Raw genomic sequence first — 20,097 nt, forward strand, 5'->3', positions numbered from 1 at the left:
GCCCCAGTCTGAGACATATGAGTTCGACTAGAATCAGCCAGTTCCTCCTTATTTGGTGCCTGCTGTATTCAAAACAGTGAGTGTAAAGTGATAGGAAGGTCAATACAAGGATGTGTTTTGGTGTGCAATTTTCAGATGTTTATAATTTAGTTGGAGGAATGAATACAATTTAGAAAGGACAGCTCATAATAAATGCTATCGAATAAAGACCCAAATATATGCAGGTATTCAAATACTTCTTGCTCCCAACCCTAGACTGGACACCAGACAAAAGGGATCTTTCTATTTTATTAGATTAAAAAACACAACGAAACCTGTAAGAACTAGGGGAAAAGGAAAAAGAAACAGATTAGGCAAAGATCAGAGATGACAAAGGGGAGAAGCAGGGAGAAGAAACGGAACAGCAAGAGCCCCAATCAGGGCAGGAAAGAAGTTTCTGAGGACTAGACATCTCTTCATTTAATGACAATTTTCTGGCGCAAGGCTCGGGGCCCAGAGCCAGGGAGGGGCTCAGGAGGTGGCGGGCCGGGGCCCAGGGCTGAGGCAGTGGGCGGCAGTCCATGGGCAGTAATGTACTTCTTGTAAGCCTCACGAATGATCTTGAAGGCTCGAGCAGTGGCATAGGGTATGTCTGTAACAGGGTCCCGGTATAGGGCTGGACGATGGGTCACTGGACAGACCTCACGAACAGGGACTTTTGGGGGCCGCCCTTGGGGGAACCATTCCTCGAAAGTTGCATCATCACTAAAAGTGATGAAGGTACGTGAGCAGCGAGCAGGGGGGTTGACGGGTCCAGTCCCAGCATGAGGAGTCAATGCAGACACCGAGGGAGCAGGATCAAGTCTGAGGACAAAAGACAAGGAAAAACACAAAGAGCTGAGGAGAGAAGACAACAGATACAGAAAGAAGGAAATCAGGCTGGGTGCAGTGGCTCACACCTGTAATTCCAGCACTTTGGGAGGCTGAGGCAGGCAGATGACGAGGTCAGGAGTTCGAGACCAGCCTGACTAACAAGGTGAAACCCTGTCTCTACTAAAAATACAAAAATTAGCCGGGCGTGGTGGCGGATGCCTGTAATCACAGCTACTCAGGAGGTTGAGGCAGGAGAATCACTTGAAGCCAGGAGGCGGAGGTTGCATGGAACCAAGATCGTGCCATTACACTCCAGCCTGGGTGACAGAGCAGCGAGACTCCATCTCAAAAAAAAAAAAAAAAGAAAAGAAAGAAAGAAGGAAATCAGAGAGATGAGGAAAGAGAAAAAGGAGGCAGGGTGTTGGGAACATTCTGAGGAACGTACTAAGTGACTGATGGGAAAAGAAAGCTAGGCTAGAAGGAAAAACAGGAAAGAGAAGAACAGAGAAGCTAAAAGAAAAAGGAATAAGAAAGAAATAAGCTGGGCTGGGCGCGGTGGCTCACACCTGTAATCCCAGTATTTTAGGAAGATGAAGCGGGACGATTACTTTAACCCAGGAGTCTGGGCAACACAGCGAAACCGTCTCTACAAAAAATACAAAAATTAGCATGTGTGGCTGTACTCCCAGCTACTTGGGAGGCTAAGGTGGGAGGATCGCCTGAGCACAGGAGGTGGAGGTTGCAGTGAGCCGAGACTGCACCACTGCATTCCAGCCTAGGTGACAGAGCAGCATCATGTCTCAAAAAAAAAAAAAGAAAAAGAAATTGAGCTGAAGGGAGTTAGGAATCTGAAAGAAATCTCCAAGTGTTAAGGAGAGCTGTGTGAGAAAAGCAAGCAAAATGGGGCCAAGAGAACATGAGCTGAACACACAATCTCTTTTCCTCTTGAGATTCACTCACCCTTCTATGTCAACGTTCTCTTCCTTGGGGCCTGGCTCCCCAACAAGTGGCACTGTCACTGAATGATAGGTGATTATGGGCCCGGGGCACTTCCGCTTCTTATGAACCTGCTTCTTTTTATCAGCCTCGAGCCGCTCATATGTCTCTTTAGGGTCAAAGGAAGAAATGAGGGGATGATCAGAATGTCCCTTTTTCCCATATCCCAGTACTGTCCCACGATCTCTCAATTATCTTCCTGGCTATCTAGTCACTGCCAACTACCAGAGACAACTATGGAAGTCCCCTAAGGCCGTCTGGCACCTCCCATTTTGTAAGTTTTCTGCTTATAAGTTTTTTCTTGACATCCTCTCTGCTCATTTCTCAAGTACACCTGGGCCCTCTATAGTACCTCAGAGTTGGAAGGTACCCTTTGATGAGGAGCTTATTTGCTTTCCCAGATACCAAAATCTCCTCTACAAATGCCCTGTCAATTCACTCCTACAGCTGGGTGTGCTGGCACACGCCTGTAATCCCAGCTACTTGGGAAGCTGAGGTGGAAGGATCGCTTGAGCCAGGGAGGTGGAGGTTGCAGTGAGCTGAGATGGCACCACATTGCACTCCAGCCTAGGCAGCAGAGTGAGATCATATCTCCAAAAAAAAAATTAGTAAGGTAGGAAATTATATTTAAATATAGAGATTTCTGGTCGCTCTTAAACAACAAGAAAATCTCGCAACCCTGGGTCTGCATTCTTACAGGGGAACAATTAGCTGAGCTGAGTAACTGTTCCTCCTTTCAGGCACTCCTCTCCAGTTCACCACCATCCCTCTGGCTGGCTGCACACTTCATGTTACCTGCCTGGTCTCCGTGATACTGCTCCATGGCGATGCACTATTGGTATATATGTCTCCTCCTTAAGGGCAGTGACTATAACTCATATTGCCTAAATATTATCAGGGTGATACAGCATTTTCCACATTACAGGCACTCATTAAATATTTGTTAATGAATAAATGAATCAAGGCTGGGCACAGTGGCTCATGCCTGTAATCCCAGCACTTTGGGAGGCCGAGGTGGGTGGATCACCTAAGGAAAGGAGTTCAAGACCAGCCTGACCAACATGGTGAAACCCCGTCTCTACTAAAAATACAAAAACTATCCGGGCGTGGTAGCACATGACTATAATCCCAGCTACTTGGGAGGCTGAGACAGAAGAATTGCTTGAACCTGGGAGGCAGAGGTTGAAGTGAGATTGCATTATTGCACTCCAACGCGGGCAATAAGAGCGAAACTCTGTCTCAAAAAAATAAATAATTTTAAAAATTTAAAAAAAAGGGCTGGGCTTTTTTTGGTGGCTCACACCTGTAACCCCAGCACTTTGGGAGGCCAAGGTGTGCGGATCATGAGGTCAGGAGATCAAGACCATCTTGGCCAACATAGAGAAACCCTGTCTCTACTAAAAATACAAAAAATTAGCTGGACGTGGTGGTGAGCACCTGTAGTCCCAGCTACTCGGGAGGCTGGGGCAGGAGAATGGCGTGAACCCAGGAGGCAGAGCTTGCAGTGAGCTGAGATCGCGCCACTGCACTCCAGCCTGGGCAAAAGAGTGAGACTCCGTCTCAAAAAAAAGAATCACCATGCACGGTGGCTCACGCCTGTAATCCCAGCACTTTGGGAGGCTGAGGTGGGCAGAGCACCTGAGGTCGGGAGTTTGAGACCAGCCTGACCAACTTGGAGAAACCCCGTCTCTACTAAAAATACCAAATGAGCCAGATGTGGTGGTGTATGCCTATAATCCCAGCTACCGGGAGGCTGAGGCAGGAGAATTGCTTGAACCTGGGAGGCGGAGGTTGCGGTGCGCCAAGATCATACCATCGCACTGTAGCCTGGGAAACAAGAGTGAAACTCCATCTCCAAAGACAAAACAAACATACGAAAAAAAATGAATCAAAATATTCCTCGTCCCCTTCCTCTGAATGAACTCCAGATTTCTGTGTCCTTAAATATGGTTATGATGAACACAATTCCCTAAAGTCTGACCATAAAAGAGTACTCTGGAGGCCAGGTGCGGTGGCTCATGCCTGTAATTACAGCACTTTGGGAGGCCTAGGCGGGTGGATCACCTGAGGTCAGGAGTTTGAGACAGACCTGGTCAACATGGTGAGACCCTGTCTCTACTAATAATACAAAAATTAGCTGGGCGTGGTGGCTTGCACCTGTAATCTCAGCTACTCGGGAGGCTGAGGCAGGACAATCACTTGAACCTGGGAGGCGGAGGTTGCAGTGAGCTGAGATTGTGCCATCGCACTCCAGCCTGGGTGACAGAGCAAGACTCCGTCTCAAAAAAAAAAAAAGAGTACTCTGGAAACCCTTCCAATGATTGAACCTCTCTTGCACTTGAACTGTTTGATAATACTGCTTTCTCTCCTTTGAGCCAGTCTTCCAACGCCTCAACCCCTTTACTTTCTTTTTCTTTTTTGAGACAGAGTCTTGCTCTGTCGCCAGGTTGGAGTACAGTGGCACAATCTCGGCTCCCTGCAACCTCCCCCTCCCAGGTTCAAGCAATTCTCCTGCCTCAGCCTCCTGAGTAGCAGGGACTATAGGCACGTGCCACCATGCCCAGCTAATATTTGTATTTTTAGTAGAGACGGGGTTTCACCATGTTGACCAGGATGGTCTGGAACTCCTGACCTCGTGATCCGCCCACCTCAGCCTCCCAAAGTGCTGGGATTACAGGCGTGAGCCACCACGCCTGGCCCAACCCCTCTACTTTCAAACACTTGCCTACACCCTCTGGAACTCGTGCTCTGTAATCTGCCAACTCATCTATATCCTCAAGCTCCTCACTCAGCATTCCTTCCATGACTTGCCTTAACAGAAACCTGGTCATTCACTGAGGCCACCACTCCTCTCTGCAGACCTCTGGTGGAGGTTGCTCATTCTCTTACATCCCTACAGGATATACCTATGTCCTACTGGGCCCCACCCTGTAGCTTTCAGAGCACTGCTTTTCTGCCTACCAGCAAACTCCCTTCTCTTTTGAGACCTGTGCCAAGAGTCTAGATTAACTTCTCTCCTTCCTAGTCATGGTCACTCCTTCATTCACTGAAGACTTTGGCAGTGGTTTCCACTCTTCGTCTCTACCCCAATTCCCATCATCTTAGGGTCACCCTGGTGACTTCGAAGTGCACATGGGTAGCCCCTTCAACACTGCATGGCCACAGTTTATCACCTCATCTCTAACAACCTTCTTTTCCATGTCACTTTACTTTTTTTTTTTTTTTGAGTCTCACTCTGTTGCCCAGGCTGGAGTGTAGCGACACGATCTCCACTCACTGCAACCTCCGCCTCCCGGGTTCAAGTGATTCTCCTCAGTGATTCTCAGCCCCCCGAGTAGCCAGGACTACAGGCACGCACCACCATGCCTGGCTAATTTTTTGTATGTTTAGTAGAGACGGGGTTTCACCATGTTGGCCAGGCTGGTCTCGAACTCCTTACCTTGTGATCCGCCTGCCTCGGCCTCCCAAAGTGCTGGGATTACAGATGTGAGCCACCGCGCCCAGTCACATTTTCCTTTTTAAATCATGCTTAGGTTGCTCACTGTATCATTTCAATCACTTCAGTCACTCTCCTGTCAATAATTCCCTTGCCCTGATCTGGACTGCTGAGTGCTACTGGAGAAAAATAACAGCACAGACTGGAACCACCATAAATTCATGGTCCTAGCCTTCAGCAGGTCCCTCAATACTGCTCAATATCCCACATCAATAACTATTTAAATGCTCCTCAGTCTCCTCAAGCTTCCAGCTGTATCCTTAATGTTTGACAGATGGTGCTGCATAATGAAAAAGACATCAGGTGAGAACCTCCGCCATGCCCTCCCTCTGGATTACAAACCTACAACTGTAAGCCACATTTTTAAACAGAGACAGGGTCTCACTATGTTGCCCAGGCTGGTCTTGAACTCCTGGGCTCAAGCGATCCTCCTTCCTTGGCCTCCCAAAGTGCTGGGATTACAGGCATGAGCCACTGCACTCAGCTAAGCCACACTTTCTTTCTTTTTTTTTGAGACAGAGTTTCACTCTTGTTACCCAGGCTGGAGTGCAATGGCACGATCTCGGCTCACCGCAACCCCCGCCTCCCGGGTTCAAGTGATTCTCCTGCCTCAGCCTCCCAAGTAGCTGGGATTACAGGCATGTGCCACCACACTCAGCTAATATTTTGTATTTTTAGTAGAGACAGGGTTTCTCCATGTTGGTCAGGCTGGTCTCGAACTCCTGACCTCAGATGATCCACCCGCCGCAGCCTTCCAAAGTGCTGGGATTACAGGTGTGAGCCACGGCGCCCGGCCACCACACTTTCTTTCTCCCTTCCCCCATCTGAAGCCAATTCCTCCACCATGCTGCTCTGGTTCCCAGCCTTGCCTCCCATCTCCAAAAACCTACACTATTAATAACCGTTTTTTCTTCTCTTTCTTTAAACTCAGTTCTTTCTCATGAAAGACATAATTTCTAATATCTTCGAATAAAATAAAAACAACTTTACCTTAATCTCACACCCCTCTGTAGCTTCCATTCCCTCTTCTACCCTTCATGGCCAAGCTTGAAAAGTTTTGCTCCCCAATATACTTTGATTCGACTTGGTCCCCAAAAAGTGCTAAGGTAATGTCTGACCTCTATCTCACCAAAACCAATGGGCACTTCTCAGTTCTACTAATCATCGTCTCAGCAGCAATTACTCTCTTGAGACATTCTCTTTCCTGGCATTTTTAACACAAACTCTCCTGGGTTTCTCCAACTCGTTGGTCACTTCCAGGCTCTTTTCAAAGCTCCTCCTCTTGTATGAAACTATCACATTTTAGTGTCTGCAGGACTCTATCAGGCCTCTGTTTTCTCACTCTGAGCTTTCTCCCTACATGCTCAGATGCACTCCAATATTGTCAATTACCACCCATATTCTAAAGACTTCCAAATTTGTATTTTCAGCCCAGATCTCTTATTGGAACACCAGATTTGCATATTTAACTGACCTCTCATCACTGCATGAATTGCTCACAAACTCCTTAAATTCAACATGTTCAAAAATAAATTTGTTTTTTCCCCACTGAACTTGCTCCTCCTTCAGGGTCTCCTAAGCCAGTTACTGATGTTGAAAACCTGGGAATTGCCGCGGGGTGGCCCAAGCCTGTAATCCCAGCACTTTGGGAGGGTGAGGCGGGTGGATCACCTGAGGTCAGGAGTTCAAGACCAGCCTGGCCAACATGGTGAAACCCCATCTCAACTAAAAATACAAAAAAATTAGCTGGGCATGGTGGCGGGCACCTGTAATCCCAGCTACTTGGGAGGCTGAGGCAAGAGAATCTCCAGCTCAGGAGGCGGAGCTTGCAGTGAGCCGAGATCATACCACTGCACTCCAGCCTGGGCGACAGAGTAAGACTCTGTCTCAAAAAAAAAAAAAAAAAAAAAAAGAAAGGAAAACCTGGGAGTCACTCTCCTTACAGTGGTCCAAACCAATCGCTCTGTAGCCCTGGCTGGAGTGCAGTGGTGTGATCTCGGCTCATTGCAACTTCCACCTCCCAGGTTCAAATGATTCTCTTGCCTCAGCCTCCCAAGTACCTGGGATTACAGACATGCGCCACCATGCCCAGCTAATTTTTGTATTTTTGGTAGAGACAGGGTTTCACCATGTTGGCCAGGCTGGTCTGGAACTCCCAACTGCAAGTGATCCACCCACCTTGGCCTCCCAAAGTGCCGGGATTACAGGTATGAGCCACTGCGCTTGGCCCAAACTGAAGAGATTTTTAAAGCAATACCATAAAATGAAGAGATTTTTAAAGCAATTTATCTCATGAAGGACTAATCTGCTGACTTCACGTTCTCATGATTATCATTAAAGTCAACATTATCACCCCCTGCTTTTTTTTTTTTTAAGAGATGGGGTTTCACTATGTTGTCCAGGCTGGTTATGAACTCCTGGCCTCAAGTGATCCTCCTGCCTAAATTTCCTGAGTCATTAGGTATATACCCCATTTTATAAACAAGAAAAGCAAAATGTGAATAAGTAATTTACCTACAGACTTAAAGCAAATGAATAGCAGAACGAGGATTTGACCTCAGTTCTATACAACTCTTATTTTACACCAAAGTACCTTAGCTTGTTCTTCAGAGTGCTCATAACTGCCTAGACTCTTGCACCTAATTACCTACTCTCCGCCATTTCTTCCTTCTGATTCCATCATCCCAAATTTCCATCTCTCCAGTTCTTTGGTCCTCCAGGTCTCATGGTTTTTCTCATGCCCCTCAGCCCCTCTACTCACTTTTTCTGAAACCACAGACTTACCCAGTGACCGTAAATTAAGCTCTTCTGTGATCTTGGCCTCCCGGAGCAGTTCCTCCTGGGTTAGTGGCCGCTCACAGTGGGGCCCCTTTCGCCGTCTTGACTGGCCCTGCCTCTCCTGTACCCGAAGGAACGTTTGTCGTGTATGCTCAGCTGTAGACTGACGCATAGACTTCCGACCTGGAAGAGAGTGAGATAAGAAGAAATCTTTGAATTCATGTCCACATATTTTATTTATTTATTTTGAAATGTTGTACTTGGAAATAATTTTTTTTTCTTTTTTTTTTTTTGAGATGGAATCTCGCTCTGTCGCCCAGGCTGGAGTACAGTGGCACGATCTCGGCTCACTCCAACCTCTGCTTCCTGGGTTCAAACAATTCTCCTGCCTCAGACTCCCGAGTAGCTGGGAGTACAGGTGCATGCCACCACATCCAGCTAATTTTTTGTATTTTTAGTAGAGATGGGGTTTCATCATGTTAGCCAGGATGGTCTTGAACTACTGACCTCGTGATCTGCCTGCCTCGGCCTCCCAAAATGCTGGGATTACAGGCATGAGCAACCGTGCCTGGCCTGAAATAATTTCAAACCTACGAAGTTGCAAGAATAGTACAAGGAATACTCATGTATCTTTTACCCCATCACCTATTGGTAATATTTTGGCCCTTTTGCATTTTGTTATGTGTGGTTTTTTTCTGAATGATCTAAATTAGGTAACTAAAGTTGTACACATCATGGCCTTTATCCCTAAATATTTCAGTGTGTATTTCCTAAGAATGAGGATTTTCCTACCCATAGTAAGTTATCAACATCAGTAAATTTTTTCTTCTTTTTATTACTTTTTTCTGGTGACAGAGTTTTGCTCTTGTTGCCCAGGCTGGAGTGCAATGGTGTAACCTCCACCTCCCAGGTTCAAGCAATTCTCCTGCCTCAGCCTCCCAAGTAGCTGGGATTACAGGGGCCCACCACCACACCTGGTTAATTTTTGTATTTTTAGTAGAGACGGAATTTCACCATGTTGGCCAGGCTGGTATCGAACTCCTGACCTCAGGTGATCTACCCGCCTAGGCCTCCCAAAGTGCTGGGATTCTAGGAGTGAGCCACCGCACCCAGCAACATCAGTAAATTTAACACTGATATGATACTTTATTATTATATTCCAATTTTGCCAATTGACCCTAACATCCCTACTCACTGTCAGAGCCGTCATCTTGTAGTTCTAATGGCAGTAGTGCCTTCTCTTCTCGCGCCTTCTGAGAGCTACCAGCCGGGGTGTTGACCTTTCGAGGCCTTAAGCTCTTGAGAGGTTCCTGAGGACAGATTGGAATCAGATACTGGGGAACAGAAGAAGTCAGGAGAAATATGAGGATCTCAATGAGAGAAAACTAGCATTGCCAGAAATGGAAGTGGCATAGGGAGTACTGGGACCTGATGAAAGAGAGAATAGGAATTGAGGAAATCCAAGACAACTAGGACTCCCCCTGTACCTTATAGGCCTTGGTGACTACTCGGCGCTTCCTTCTTGGCTCTTCTGCTTCTCCATCACTGGATGGTTCATCCCCTTCATCAATGTCAAAGTCAGAGTCCACTTCGTCCTCTGTGTCTGACTGGTCCCCTTGATACTCATCATCTCCGGATTCCTAAGGACACAGGGAGATAAGGGTTGGCTGGCAATGGAAGCCTTAATGCCCCTTCAGGAGGAACAGAATCTCTCGACTTTCTTGATAAGGGCTGCCCTACTCTCCTTCCTAATCCAGCCCTTCATTTTCCTCAGGCAAGAAAACTTTCTAGCTAATGGCCTTTGGCTCCAGTACCACCTCCTTCCAACATTAATTGATAGCCCTTTACCTGCAACACACTGTTAAGTACTGGGGAACAAAAGGATATGGTTTGGTCTCTACCTTCAGGGGCTTACAGTAAAGGGGAGGACATAATCTTACTTTTTTTTTTTTGAGATGTGGATCTCGAACAGGCTTGGTGGCTCACGCCTGTAATCCCAGCACTTTGGGAGGCCGAGGTGGGCAGATCACTTGAGGCCAGGAGTTCGAGACCAGCCTGGCCAACATGGTGAAACTCTGTCTCTACTAAAAATACAAAAATTAGCTGGGCATGGTGACGCACACCTGTAGTCCCAGCTACTTGGGAGGTTGAGGCAGGAGAACTGCTTGAACCCAGGAGGCATAGGTTGCAGTGAGCTGAGATAGTGCCACTGCACTCCAGCCTGGGCGACAGGGCGAGACACAGTCTCAAAAAGAAAAAAAAAAAAAAGGATGAAGAGGACTTAAACTATGATTGAAAACACTGTTAGTATTTAGACAGCCAAGAGGGAGGAAGGAATCATGGGCAGATGAAATAGCAGAAACAAAGGCACAGAAATGGTAATGTGTATAGCATGTTTATGGAATAAGGATTTAGATCTAAGTAAAACTTTTCTCTGTCAAGAAACCTTGTTAGCCAACTGCATTTGGCTCCAGCACTGCCTCCTTCCAACACTGATTGCACTGTAGGACTGTATGATTTGAAAAGAAGGTTGCATTCCATTTATGGAGAAACTTAAATGTCACACTAATAAACACGCTTTTAACCTGCAGGCCAGTGATTCTCAATCCCCTCCATCTCCTTATTTTCCCTACCATTGATAATCATTGTTGAGGTAAACTAAAGTTACTGAGAGAAATATGTGTCATTCCTCAGGCGTGTTGGGACAGAAAAACAGCTGAGTACTGCTACTATGGATAATGGAGGGCCACTGAAGATTTAGGGGAGGGGTAATGGTATGTACAATGGGTATTTCAGAAAGCTCTGGGGGCAGTTAGATGGCCTGGAGTAGAGAACGTGAAGTACAGCCTAGACCTCAGGTGAACTGGTTAGGGCTAGAATGGCAGCCATATTATAAAGAAAAGGGAAAAAAGCCACTTGAGGGAGAGGGAGTCAACTGGGCTGGCTGACACCTCACATATGTGGTTCTCTCTTCAATCAGTGATGCAGACTAATGGGCTAATCTTGGTACACATGATGCCAAAGCAAGCAAATAACACAGATGGCTGACACTCCAAGCCAGCCAGAGTTCAATTTTGCACTGATGACCATCATTTCCTCCTAACTGATGTTTGTAAAAGACAGCCTGGGAACACATTAATCCCCTCAGCTTTAATCTGGTATTAAGCCATATCACCAGAGGGTAGTAGATCAACCACACATTAGCTTAGTGCCCAATCAACATACTTGCACTAAATTAAGGATTTACTACCATTCCTTCGGCTTTTATTGAGAGTCATTAAGAGACATCACTAGAAAAGAGAATGTTTGTATATCATCTATGAAAACCATTACTTTTTATAATATAAGGATATAATGATAAATGCTCCCTAGGATTTAAGGCTGAAAAAGTTTGTGTCTCTTGAAGAACTTGTATGCTTCTTTCTTACTAAAAAAAGAAATACAAGGTTTGGCTACCAGGAAGCTCACAACTAAATTTAATATCAATTGCTATTACCATTTTAGCAGAGGTTCCTGGTACAATTACTTCTGATCTGTCTCTATTTTTACTGTTCCTACTTTTTGTTTATATTGTAAGCCTCCTTAAATCCTTTTTGGAAGCATGAAGGGTACATATTAAATAACAAGTCGTAAAATGACAGAAATAGGAAAATGGCCTTAGAGGAGGGATGAGAAAGTTCTATTTTAAACTAGTTGGTTAGGGCTGTGTCAGTAATGACTCTGTCAGTGATGTGGGTTTTTTTTTTTTTTGAGACAGAGTCTCACTCTGTCGCCCAGGCTGGAGGGCAGTGGCGCAATCCACTGCAACCTCTGCCTCCTGGGTTCAAGTGATTCTCCTGCCTCAGCCTCCTAAGTAGCTGGAATTACAGGCACACGCCACCACAACCAGCTAATTTTTTGCATTTTTAGTAGTGACAGGGTTTCACCATGTTGGTCAGGCTGGTCTCGAACTCCTGACCTCGTGATCCACCCGCCTCAGCCTCCCAAAGTGCTGGAATTACAGGCGTGAGCCACCACACCCAGCCCCTAAGTCCTGTGGGTTCTATTCCTTAATTTCTCTTGAATCTTTCTGTTTCTCTACTGCCATGCCCCCTTCAAGCCATTCTCATTACAGAGTAAGTAACCTTCCTAAAGTACAAATTTCATCGTGGAATTCTGATGACTCTTCTCAGTCCTCTGGATGAAGAGCAAAATTCCTTAACATAGCTCACAAGGCCCTAAAGGATCTGGCCCATGCCTACTCCCTGCAGGCTTATCAATCTTTAGTCTCCTTCATGCTCTGGAGAATGAAAGTAGACTTGCAGGTCCTAGACCAGGATCTCAATGTCTTTACATACTCAGCCCATCCTGCTCTGTGGACTAACCTTTCTCCTTCTCCTGCTTTTCATCAAGCTAAGGTCTACTTTTCAAACTGTCCTCAGCTTAAACATCATCCCTCCAGGGATGCCTATCCTGATCAACAACTTTGGTTCAGATGTATTACCTTAACACTCTTACACCTTGTTTTAGTCCTTATCACACATTTTTTGTTTGTTTTTGAGACGGAGTCCTGCTCTGTCGCCCAGGCTGGAGTGCAGTGGTACGATCTCGGCTCACTGCAACCTCCTCCTCCCAGGTTCAAGCGATTCTCTGCCTCAGCCTCCTGAGTAGCTGGGACTATAGGCGCACACCACCACGCTTGGCTAATTTTTGTATTTTAATAGAGACAGGGGGTTTTACCATGTTGGCCAGGATGGTCTCGATTTCCTGACCTTGTGATCCACCCGCCTCGGCCTTCCAAAGTGCTGGGATTACAGGCGTGAGCCACTGTGCCCGGCCAAAGCCACTGTGCTCGGCCTATCACACAGTATTTTAACTGTTAACCCAGGCAGTTACCCCACTGGGGCATGGAGTATGTAAGGACAGAGCACTGTTTTTAATATTCTGTTTCCCTAGAGCCTAAAACAACCTATTACCGATGGCATGCTCTGGGTACTCAACACATTTAATAAACGGGTAGATTCAACTAATAAAAATTTAGCAAGTGGCAGCCCAGTCCGGACACCTCACACATAATGTTGAACAAAACAGACCATCTCTAACTTTATACAGTTTACAATGCAATAGAAAAGCATAAGCAAGTAAGCAAACCAAATCTAATTGCAAATTGAAATATGTTCTGTGGAAGAAATAAATGGGGACACTTGTTAGGATAGTCAAGGAAGGGTTATCTTCCTGAGAAAACATTTACACTGAGACCTGAAAGCTGAAAAAGAAGTGGGCTAAGCTCCTCTACTTTTGGAGCGGTTCCTTTCCATGTCTCAGGTGAATAATCCAGCAGTGGGCCAACGAGTATACATCGAGCAACTGTCTACTACTATGTGTGTGCCTCGTGTATGCTGGACGTCAGAAGTACAGTGAAAGATGCAACCACGCAAGTATACGGTAGGTTTCTGCCGTTCTCTGTTCTCTGGAGTGCCTCCGGAGAGCTTCTCCGTCTCAGGCCCCTTTGACCCCATCCAGAGCTCTCCCTTCTAGGACTCCACACTATCCGTTCCCCCGCCTCGCCCCCCGGCTCCGATTCACCCACCCAACTCGAGTATCAGCTCCCAGAGCTCCTCTCTATTCCCCGCCCTCTTCTTCTTTGTCCGGGGTTTCTCCCTTCAGGGCTCCTCTTTGCCTCCTCCCCTCCCTTTTCCCAGGCCCGGATCTTGCCTCTGTGAAACCCCCATAAGTCGTCTGGTAGAACTCATCTTCCTCCTCTGCCTCCAAAAGCCCAGAAAGCCGGTTCCCAGCGGTCTTCCGGGGTGCCCGGCCCCCAGCCAAACTCATACCGCCTACCGAGACTGCGCCGCCACCTGCAGCCCCTCACCAGCTCGGTTTTGGGAGCTCGACGCTCGACATCACTACCTGCGGGTGGCCACCAGCGGCGGAAGTCGGGCGTTTACAGGCAGAAGTAACAGAGTGTCGAGAGACTCCCAGTCCCACCCTCTAAACCCTCTTTACTCTTCAGCCTCTCCTACTCCTGCGCGGATGCTCTAGGCCGCTTGCTCTAGTACCCAGCGATCTCCCTTGCTCAATGAGTCCACTTGGTGGTACGAAGACCCCCATAACCCTAAGTCAACACATTTTATTTTATTTATTTTTATTTTATATATATATATGGTTTTTTTTTTCCGTAGGGACGGAGTCTCGCCTCGCTCTGTCGCCAGACTGGAGTGCAGTGGCACGATCTCGGCTCACTGCAACCTCCGTCCCCCGGGCTGAAGCGATTCTCCTGCCTCAGTCCCCCGAGTAGCTGGGATTACAGGCGCCCGCCACCATGCCCAACTAATTTTTGTATTTTTAGTAGAGACAGCTTTCACCGTGTTGGCCAGGCTGGTCTCGAACTCCTGACCTCAGGTGATCCGCCCGCTTCGGCCTCCCAAAGTGCTGGGATTACAGGCATAAGCCTGCGCCCCCAGCTCACATTTTCTTTTAGAAGAGGTCATTCTCTCCGCTCCAGTCCATTTTCTACACTGCTGCTAGTAGGAAACTTTCTAAAAACCCACGTTTTGCCACTCCTGTCCTCAAACATTTTTAATGGCTCCACATCATCTACAAGATAAAGTCAAAAATCCTTGAGGAAGGAAGCATAGTATTGTGGTTAAAAACACAGCCATAGACATTTATCCAAAGGAAAGGACATAATTCAACCTGAGGAAGCCAATTTAGGAGGAAAAAAAAAAAGGAAATCAGTATATCCAAGAGACGTCTGCACTCCATATTTATGCACCCCCATATTTATTGCAGCACTACTTAGAGTAGCCAAAATAGGAAATCAATCTCTGTGTCCAACAACAGATGAATAAAGGAAATAGGGTGTATATACACAATGGAATACTTTTCAGCCATTAAAAAGAAGAAAATCCTGTCATTTGCAGCAACATGGATGGAACTGGAGGACATGTTAACTGACTTAAGCCACGAACAGAAAGTTAAAACACTGCATGTTCTCACTCATATGTGACGCTTTTAAAAAGTTGATTTCATAGAAGTGAAAGAACAGAGGATACTGGAGGCTGGGAAGAGCAGGGGGAAGGAAGGGACAGGGAAAGATTTGTTAAAAGACACAAAATTGTGGCTCACACCTGTAATCCCAGCACTTTGGGAGGCCGAAGGGGGTGGATCATGAGGTCAGGAGTTCACGACCAGCCTGGCCAAGATGGCGAAACCCCATCTCTACTAAAAATACAAAAATTAGCTGGTCGTGGTGGTGGGCGCCTGTTATCCCAGATACTCGAGAGGCTGAGGCAGAGAATTGCTTGAACTCGGGAGGCGGAGGTTGCAGTGAGCCGAGATCGCGCCATTTGCTCTCCAGCCTGGGAAACAGAGCAAGACTCCGTCTCAGAAAAAAAAAAAAGACAAAATTGGGCCTGGCACAGTGGCTCACACCTGTAATCCCAGCACTTTGGGAGGCTGAAGCGGGCAGATCCCGAGGTCAAGAGATTGTGACCATCCTGGCCAACATGGTGAAACCCCGTATCTACTACAAATACAAAAATTAGCTGGGTGTGGTGGCGCGCACCTGTAGTCCCAGCTACTAGGGAGGCTGAGGCAGGAGAATCGCTTGAACCCGGGAGGCAGAGGTTGCAGTGAGCTGAGATTGTGCCACTGCACTCCAGCCTGGCAACAGAGCAAGACTCCATCTCAAAAGAAAAAAAAAAAAGACACAAAATTACAATTTTTTTTGAGACAGGGTCTCTATTGCCCAGGCTGGAGTGCAGCAGCAGGATCATGGCTCACTGCCTCCTTGACCTCCTGGGCTCAAGCTGTCCTCCCACCTTGGCTTCCAAAAGTGCTAGGATTACAGCTGTGAGCCACCACACTGGCCCCCAATTACATTTGTTTGTTCGTTTGTTTGTTTGTTTGAGATAGGATCTCACTTTGTCACCCAGGCTGGAATACAGTGATGCAATCACTGCTCACTGCAGTCTCGACCTCCTGGGTTCAAGTGATCATCGCACCTCAGCCTCGTGGGTAGCTGGAACTACAGGCTCGTGTCACCACGCCTGGCTAATTTTTTGTACTTTTTGTGGAGATGAGATTTCATCATGTTGCCCACGGTGATCACCTGAGCTCAAGTGATCCCCACTCCTCAGCCTCTCAATGTGCTGGGATTACAGGTGTGAGCCACCTCGCTTGGCCCCAAATTACATTTAGATAGGAGGAATAAATTCTAGTGTTCTTGGCCGGGTGTGGTGGCTCACACCTGTAATCCCAAAACTTTGGGAGGCTGAAGTGGGCAGATCACCTTAGATCAGGAGTTTGAGACTAGCCTGGCCAACATGGCGAAACCCCATCTCTACTAAAAATACAAAAATTAGCCGAGCACGTTGGCGGGTGCCTGTAATCCCACCTACTAGGAGGCAGAGGCAGGAGAATCACTTGAACCCCGGAGGCGGAGGTTGCAGTGAACCAAGATCGCACCATTGCACTCTAGCCTGGGCAACAAGAGTGAGACTCCATCTCAAAAAAAAAAAAAAAAATTCTAGTGTTCTATATCACTGGGGGATAACTATGATTAACAATAATATTTTCAAATAGCTAGAAGAAGGATATTGAATGTTTGTGCTGGAGACAAATAAATTATATATTTGTGAGGCCAGGCACGGTGGCTCACGCCTGTAATCCCAGCACTTTGGGAGGTTAAGGTGGGCAGATTATTTGAGGTCGGTAGTTCAAGACAAGCCTGACTGACATGGTGAAACCTTGTCTTTACTAAAAAGTACGCAAATTGGCCAGGAGTGGTGGCAGGTGCCTGTAGTTCCAGCTACTTAGGAGGCTGAGACATGAGAATCACTTGAAACCGGGAGGTGGAGGTTGTAGTGAGCCAACGTCGTGCCACTGCACTCCAGCTTGGATGACAGAGCGAGACACCATCTCAAAATAAATAAATAAATAAATGATACATTTTTTAGATGACAGATATACTAATTATCCTGATCTGATCACTAAACATTTTATGTATTGAAACATCACTATGTGCCCCATAAATATGTACAATTATGTGCCAATTAAAAATTAAAATAAAATAAAACAACAACAAAAAGAGAACACAGCTTTAGAGCCAGCCAGACCTGAATTTGAGTGTGAACTTTAAGGTCTTTTAGCTGTATGACTTTGGACAAGTTGCTTTACTTCTCTGAATCTCAGTTTTCTCATCTGCAAAGTGGGACTGATAATAATACCTATCTTTTAAGGTCGTAGAAGATTAAGAGATATAATTATTGGCCAGGTGCCATGGCTCACGCCTATAATCCCAGTACTTTGGGAGGCCGAGGCGGGTAGATCACAAGGTCAGTAGTTCGAGACCAGCGTGGCCAGTATGGTGAAACCCCATCTCTACTGAAAATATAAAAATTACCCAGGCATGGTGGCGGGTGCCTGTAGTCCCAGCTAGTCGAGAGGCTGAGGCAGGAGAATAGCTTGAACCCAGGAGACGGAGGTTGCAGTGAGCCAAGATAGCACCACTGCACTCCAGCCCGGGCGACAGAGCCACATTCTGTCTCAAAAAAAAAAAAAAAAAAAAAAAAAGACAGAGAGAGATAATTCTTGTCAACTGCTTAGCACAGTGTTTAGTAAGTGCATAGTAAATGTGTAGTAGGTGGTAACTACTACATGGCATTCAGTATTCAGATCCTTCATAATTTAGCCTCTCCCTGTCCTTCTAGTCACACCTCCTGCGACATCACTACTCCAGCATCTCTCCCCTAACACCCAATTCTCTGTCATGCCTCTATGCCTTTCTTTCTCCTTAGAATCCCTTTCCTTTCTTTTCTAATTTTATGGGAGAGTGGAGTCTTCCTGAACACCCATTCCTCTCTTTCCAGGCACAATTCATATAACTATGGAGATGATGTCTTCTGTAGTCTCTGGAATAGTTCCAATCTCAAATATTGTCTGTTGTAAAGACTGTTCTCATTTTTTATTCTGAAAATATGGTTATCAAACCATAGCACTTACACAAACTTTATGATGGCACCTATTACATTGTATTCTAATGATTCACATGTCTGTTCCCCTCATTAGTCTGTGATCTTTTTGAGGGCAGGGGCTTAATCTTTTCCTTTTTTTAATTAAAAAAAATTGTTTTGGAGACATGGTTTTGCTCTGTCGCCCAGGCTGGAGAGTAGTGGTGCAATTTTAGCTTACTGCAGCCTTGACCTCCTGGGCTCAAGTGATCCACCCATCTCAGTTTCCTTAGTAGCTGTGACTACAGGTGCGCACCACCACGCTCAGCGAATTTTTGTATTTTTTGTAGAGATAGGATTTTTGCCATGTTGCCCAGGCTAGTCTTGAACCCCTGGGCTCAAGCAATCTGCCTGCCTCAGCTCCCAAAGTGTTGGGATTACAGGAGTGAGCCATCCTGCCTGATGATGGGCTTAATGGTCATCTGTGTATTCCAGGAACTCTAATAGTGCCTGGGACGTAGCTTGGGCTAAATAATGTTAATTGAGTGAATTAATTAATGAATGATTAATTGAATAAATAGCCCATCCTCTTATTGTAGAATCCTTTCCTTGCTCTTGCCAGTCCCCATCACTTCATTCTAATCTTAGAAACTTTTCTGGCCGGGCGCAGTAGCTCATACCTGTAATCCCAGCACTTAGGGAGGCCGAGGCAGGCAGATCACGAGGTCAAGAGATCGAGACCATCCTGGCTAACACAGTGAAACCCTGTCTCTACTAAAGATACAAAAAATTAGCCGGACGTGGTGGTTTGTGCCTGTAATCCCAGCTACTTGGGAGGCTGATGCAGGAGAATCGCTTGAACCCGGGAGGCGGAAGTTGCAGCGAGCCAAGATCGCGCCACTGCACTCTAGCCTGGGCGACAGAGGGAGACTCTGTCTCAAAAAAAAAACAATAATAAAATAAATAAATAAATAAAATAAAGAAACTGTTCTAAGATATGAATGACACTTTAATAAAGGTGTGGGTGTGTACTCACATGTACTGAAGTCTGTACCTGTGGCCCTACTTTGAGGTCATCAGATTGTACCCCCTTTCCCAAAGTATGTATTGGTGAACTCCCTTTTCTGTTTCCTTGGGGCACTAAGCCAACATGTCCTGCTCTGCCCCTGTTTCCACACCCTGCCACGTCACCACAGTTCTACTATGCCAGGAATGTTACCGGGGAGGAGTGGTTCCATGACTCAGAGGACACCCCAGGTACTGAGTGGGAGTGGGGGCGCCCCAGGGACTGAGTGGGAGTTGGTGAAATTAAAAATAAAAATAGTACTTGATGAAAATAAAAATTAAAAATATAAAAAATTAGCTGGGCGTGGTGGTGCATGCCTGTAGTCCCAGCTACTCGGGAGGCTGAGGCAGGAGAATCGCTTGAACCCGGGAGGTGGAGGTTGCAGTAAGCCAAGCGCCACTGCACTCCAGCCTGGGTGACAGAGCCAGACTCTGTCTCAAAAATAAAATAAAATGGAATTCACAGATTAGCTCACAGGGAGAAGATTCCTCTGTTTGACTGCGTTGGTCATTCTGGGATTTATTAGTCTGTTTCCAATTTTAAAATCAGAAACAGCTTTACATCAACACCAGCCGATTTTTTTTTTTTTTTTTTTTTTTTTTTTGAGACGGAGTCTCGCTCTGTCGCCCAGGCTGCAGTGCAGTGGCACGATCTCGGCTCAGTGCAAGCTCCGCCTCCCAGGTTCATGCCATTCTCCTGCCTCAGCCTCCCGAGTAGCTGGGGCTACTACAGGCGCCGGCCAACTCACCCGGCTAATTTTTTGTATTTTTAGTAAAGACGGGGTTTCACTGTGTTAGCCAGGATGGTCTCGATCTCCTGACCTCGTGATCCGCCCGCCTCGGCCTCCCAAAGTGCTGGGATTACAGGCGTGAGCCACCGCGTCCGGCTACACTATCCGATTTCTAAAGTAACTCAGGAAATGGTAGCAATCCTATGCCTTTTCGGAAAACAAGGATAATTTATTCAACAAATATTTA

General features: G+C 46.4%; 2 protein-coding genes across 9 annotated transcripts in view, besides 2 other annotated features; one reads left to right on the forward strand and one right to left on the reverse strand.

Annotated features, from left to right (window-relative positions):
* Positions 1 to 115: 115 nt before the first annotated feature.
* VPS72 (vacuolar protein sorting 72 homolog) lies at positions 116 to 14,009 on the reverse strand. Of its 4 annotated transcripts, none has more exons than XM_017002205.2 (6): positions 13,943 to 14,009; positions 9,610 to 9,762; positions 9,318 to 9,432; positions 8,129 to 8,305; positions 1,813 to 1,957; positions 116 to 876 (listed from the first exon to the last, which is right to left on the reverse strand). In XM_017002205.2, exons 4-6 carry the CDS (start codon positions 8,292 to 8,294, stop codon positions 456 to 458), a joined length of 732 nt encoding a protein of 243 aa, XP_016857694.1. In that variant the 5' UTR covers positions 8,295 to 8,305; positions 9,318 to 9,432; positions 9,610 to 9,762; positions 13,943 to 14,009; the 3' UTR covers positions 116 to 455. The 4 variants fall into 4 exon arrangements, with proteins under 4 accessions (XP_016857694.1, NP_001258017.1, NP_005988.1 ...); NM_001271088.2 differs by having other exon boundaries at positions 116 to 709; positions 1,948 to 1,957; positions 13,817 to 14,009; NM_005997.3 differs by having other exon boundaries at positions 116 to 843; positions 13,817 to 14,009.
* Positions 13,984 to 14,053: an enhancer, noted in NCBI's record as "active region_1710". NCBI's record gives its function as "activates an Ori minimal core promoter by ATAC-STARR-seq in GM12878 lymphoblastoid cells {active_cell/tissue: GM12878}" and the evidence as "EXISTENCE:reporter gene assay evidence [ECO:0000049][PMID:35858748]".
* Positions 14,094 to 14,153: an enhancer, noted in NCBI's record as "active region_1711". NCBI's record gives its function as "activates an Ori minimal core promoter by ATAC-STARR-seq in GM12878 lymphoblastoid cells {active_cell/tissue: GM12878}" and the evidence as "EXISTENCE:reporter gene assay evidence [ECO:0000049][PMID:35858748]".
* Positions 19,231 to 20,097, forward strand: part of PIP5K1A (phosphatidylinositol-4-phosphate 5-kinase type 1 alpha) — a 54,113-nt gene continuing 53,246 nt past the window's right edge. For all 5 annotated transcript variants that reach the window (XM_047431638.1, XM_024450129.2, XM_006711568.5 and 2 more), the window contains exon 1: positions 19,231 to 19,311. The gene's annotated coding sequence lies outside the window, so the exon portion shown is untranslated. The remainder of the gene's footprint in view (positions 19,312 to 20,097) is intronic.

The sequence above is a fragment of the Homo sapiens genome, chromosome 1 (genome assembly GCF_000001405.40).
Source record: "Homo sapiens chromosome 1, GRCh38.p14 Primary Assembly".
In the NCBI taxonomy this organism is placed as follows: Eukaryota; Metazoa; Chordata; class Mammalia; order Primates; family Hominidae; genus Homo; species Homo sapiens.

Excerpts from the sequence above, each read along its gene's own strand:
- VPS72 (NM_001271087.2), bottom strand. The coding sequence starts at position 13,933 with ATGAGTTTGGCTGGGGGCCGGGCACCCCGGAAGACCGCTGGGAACCGG. Across the intron at positions 1,958-8,128 it reads GCTTAATTTACGGTCACTGG|AGACATATGAGCGGCTCGAG; the intron begins GTAAGTCTGTGG and ends TTGACCCTAAAG. Across the intron at positions 877-1,812 it reads GAGAACGTTGACATAGAAGG|CTCTTTGTGTTTTTCCTTGT; the intron begins GTGAGTGAATCT and ends TTCTCTCCTCAG.